Raw genomic sequence first — 3,834 nt, 5'->3', positions numbered from 1 at the left:
TCAGCCTCCCAGAATGTTGGGATGATAGGCGACAGCCACCATGCCCAGCCAGTGAGCCATGATTGCATCACTGCACTCCAGTCTGGGTGACAGAGCAACACCCTGTCTCTAAAATAAAATAAAATAAAATCCTACAATGATGAAAGAATGATCCAGAGCTCACAGCCGGGAGTCATTAAGCCTGGGTTCAGATCTCCCAGCTTTTCCTCTGCTTAACTGTGTGATTATGGGCAAATGACTTTATCTAAGTTTCAGTCTTACCTTATGTAAAATGGGACTGTTCATAGCCCAACCTCATAGAGCAGGCCTAAAAATTCAGTGAGATAATACATGAGAAATGCTTAGCGTGGTCCCTGGCATTCTGTGGTGCTCAATAAAAATTCAGCTACGACTGATTATTCATGGCTGATGTATGCTCTTTAGATTTGGTGAGCCTCCGGCCCTAAGAAGATCCGAATTTTAGTGGTGGAGAGAAATAAAGGGTCTGAGGGCTGCAGCTCCAAACATGAAAGCAAAGCCTGGAGGAGCAGGAGCTGTTTATAAAGTGAGGAGGAGCAGGAGCTGTTTATAAAGTGAGGTACAGCCGGGCGTGGTGGCTCATGCCCGTAATCCCAGCACTGTAGGAGGCCAGATGGGTGGATCACCTGAGGTCAGGAGTTCAAGACCAGCCTGGCCAACATGGCAAAACCAGCTCCACTAAAAATAAAAAAAAATTAGATGGGCGTGGTGGCAGGTGCCTGTAATCCCAGCTACTAGGGAGGCTGAGACACGAAAATTGCTTGAACCCAGGAAGCAGAGGTTGCAGTAAGCCAAGATATCGGCTACTGCACTCCAGCCTGGGTGACAGAGCAAGACTCTGTCTCAAAAAAAAAAAAAAATGAGGTGCATGGTGCGGGGTGGGCTGGGACCTGTGTGTAAGTACTGGAGGTAGATGTACCGGAGCCAGCCAGGCCCTGTGATGGGTAGGAGGATTCCCTCTGTGTGTGCTCATCCACCCTGTCTGGTACAGTCACCAGCTCTGAAACTGTCCCTGCAGTCTCCTCCCTCCAAGTAAATAGGTGTTGCTATTCTAAGAGAGGCCTGTGATAAAAATAGTTGCTTTGCTTTGGAGGGTTTTTTTTTTTTTTTTTTTAAGCCATGAAAATAACAGGGCAGTAGGCTGTCTATTTTGGGTTGGGGACTTTGGCCCGCTTTCAAAGTCACAGCCCAATGAGATCTATTTAGAAAAGGTCACTGCGCACTTTGCTCACGTCGATGGCGCCTTAAAACAAGCCTGCGTGGATGCACTTAGGAGACTCTGGGGCTTACCCAAGGGACAGAGTTAGAAGGAATTGTGGGGCCACTATGTTTATGCCCCTGTGTAAATGTAAGCCCTGGCATCTCTCCGTGGGGCTTCAGTGGTCTTTCTCTCCACCGCACTTTCCCCAGCCCCCACCAACTTCTCAGGAGGCGGAGCTAGTTGCCAGCCTGCTTCTCCCTCCACCTTAGGAATCCTGCATCAGGGTGACGCTGGGTGTGGGGAATGCTCTCCTACTTCTCTATAAATCAGCCTATCATGTGGCAGCATCAGTCAGGCAGGAGCTCCAGCTGGGGCCTGGCATCTGGAACTGGGCTGGATTTTTCCATTCTCAGTGGACCAAAGCGTGACTTGGGTGATTGAGAAAGGCACACCCGAGTAGATGGCCTAAGATGACAGAGCAACTGGAGTGAAAAGAACATGAGCAGTGTGAACCTTGTCCCTAGCCCTCACTAGCTGTGTGACCTTAGGCAAGTAACTTCACTCTCTGATCCCTTGTTTCCTTACTAGTAAAATGGAGATAAAACCAACCTTATAGGACTATTGGGAGGATTAAATAAAATAATGTATGTATGTATGTATTTATACTTATTTATTTCTTGAGACAGGGTCTTGCCCTGTCACCCAGGCTGTAGTGCAGTAGCACCATCTTGGCTCACTGCAACTGCCACTTTCTGGGCTCAGGTGATCCTCCCACCTCAGCCTCATGAGTAGCTGGGACTACAGAGGCGCACCACCACACCCGGCTAATTTTTTGTATTTTTTGTAGAGATGGGATTTCACCATGTTGCCCAAGCTGGTCTTGAACTCCTGGATTCAAGTGATCCGCCAGCCTTGACCTCCTAATTGCTGGGATTACAGGTGTGAGCCACTGCACCCAGCCACAAGATAATGTATTTTAAAAGTACCTAGTATGTATAGGGTGGCTACCAAGTCTGGAAACACAGAGGATTTTTCAGAATAAATGGTCTGTTGCTAATACATACTAAAATTCTCTATACTTTCAGACTTTAACACTTATATGGTGCTTACCATGTGCCAGCCACTGTTTTAAATGCTTAGCTTTTTTTTTTTTTTTTTTTTTTTGAGACAGAGTCTCGCTCTGTCACCCAGGCTGGAGTGCAGTGGCGCGATCTCAGCTCACTGCAAGCTTCGCCTCCCGGGTTCACGCCATGCTCCTGCCTCAGCCTCCCGAGTAGCTGGGACTACAGGCGCCCGTCACCACGCCCGGCTAATTTTTTGTATTTTTAGTAGAGACGGGGTTTCACTGTGTTAGCCAGGATGGTCTCGATCTCCTGCCCGCCTCGGCCTCCCAAAGTGCTGGGATTAAAGGCGTGAGCCACTGTGCCCGGCCTAAATGCTTTGCATTTTTAAACTCATTAATTCTCCATAACAACCTTATGAGGTAAGAACTATGTTACACCCATTTTACAGAAAAGAAAACTGAGGTTCAGAAGTTAAATCACCACCCAGTGATGTGGTAACTTTCTGCCCTTCTTAGTCAAGAACATACTGAAAACACATTGGAATCAGTTAGCAAACCTTTTTTTGGGAGAGGGCTCTCTATGTTGTCCAGACTGGGCTCACACTCCTGGGCTCACGGGATCCTCTCACCTCAGCCTCCTGAGTAATTGGGACTACCGGCCTGCCACCACACTTGACTACATTTTTTGACTTTGCCCAACCTGTCAGGTGAGAAGTGGTCTCTCAGTGTAGTTTCTCTTACTATGATGGTGGCTCTCTTTTTGTATATTTGATTTACTTGTGTGTTCCTTTATGTGAATTGCCTATTCATATCCTAACTATCCTAGTCCTGACTATTTGTCTGTGGGGTTCTTTGTTTCTTCTTAATTGATTTTTGGAACTCTTTTTACATTAGGGAAACCAATCCTTCATCTGTGAATTGTATTTACTTATTTTTTTTTTTTGAGGCAGAGTCTCACTCTTGTCGCCCAGGCTGGAGTGCAATGGCGCCATCTCACTGCAACCTCTGCCTTCCGTTCAAGTGATTCTCCTGCCTCATCCTTCTGAGTAGCTGGGATTTGAGGCGCCCACCACCACACCCATTAATTTTTGTGTTTTTAGTAGAGGTGGGGTTTCACCTTCTTGGCCAGGCTGGTCTCAAACTCCTGACCTCAGGTGATCTGCCTGCCTCTGCCTCCCAAAGTGCTGGGATTACAGGCGTGAGGCACCATGCTTGGCTCATCTATGAATTGAATTGCAAATGTTTTTTCCCAGCTTATCATTTGACCTTTGATTTTGTTTAAGGTATTTATTACCATGCAGAAATTTGACTTTCATGGAGGTCAATTTATCAGGCTTTTCTTTTATGCCTTCTGGCATTCATATCATGCTTAGATATGGAAGTTTCCCCTGTACTGAAAAAAAAAATGTTTTTAACCTTCTCATGCTTTCCTGTAGTACTTCTTTTTTTTTTTTTGAGACAGAGTCTTGCTCTGTCGCCTGGGCTGCAGTGCAGTGGCTTGATCTCGGCTCACTGCAACCTCTGCCTCCCGGGTTCCAGCGATTCTCCTGCC

The 3,834-nt window shown here is 46.7% G+C and overlaps 1 annotated feature.

The window, feature by feature from the left end:
* Positions 750-1,251: an enhancer, noted in NCBI's record as "H3K4me1 hESC enhancer chr3:12735645-12736146 (GRCh37/hg19 assembly coordinates)". NCBI's record gives its function as "activates a minimal SCP1, AML or CMV promoter by ChIP-STARR-seq in naive H9 embryonic stem cells {active_cell/tissue: H9 hESC(naive)}" and the evidence as "EXISTENCE:reporter gene assay evidence [ECO:0000049][PMID:30033119]".

The sequence above is a fragment of the Homo sapiens genome, chromosome 3 (assembly GCF_000001405.40).
Source record: "Homo sapiens chromosome 3, GRCh38.p14 Primary Assembly".
NCBI classification, from domain to species: domain Eukaryota; kingdom Metazoa; phylum Chordata; class Mammalia; order Primates; family Hominidae; genus Homo; species Homo sapiens.
The sequence above is the reverse complement of the archived record's forward strand: the minus strand, read 5'-3'. Positions and strand labels throughout refer to the sequence as shown.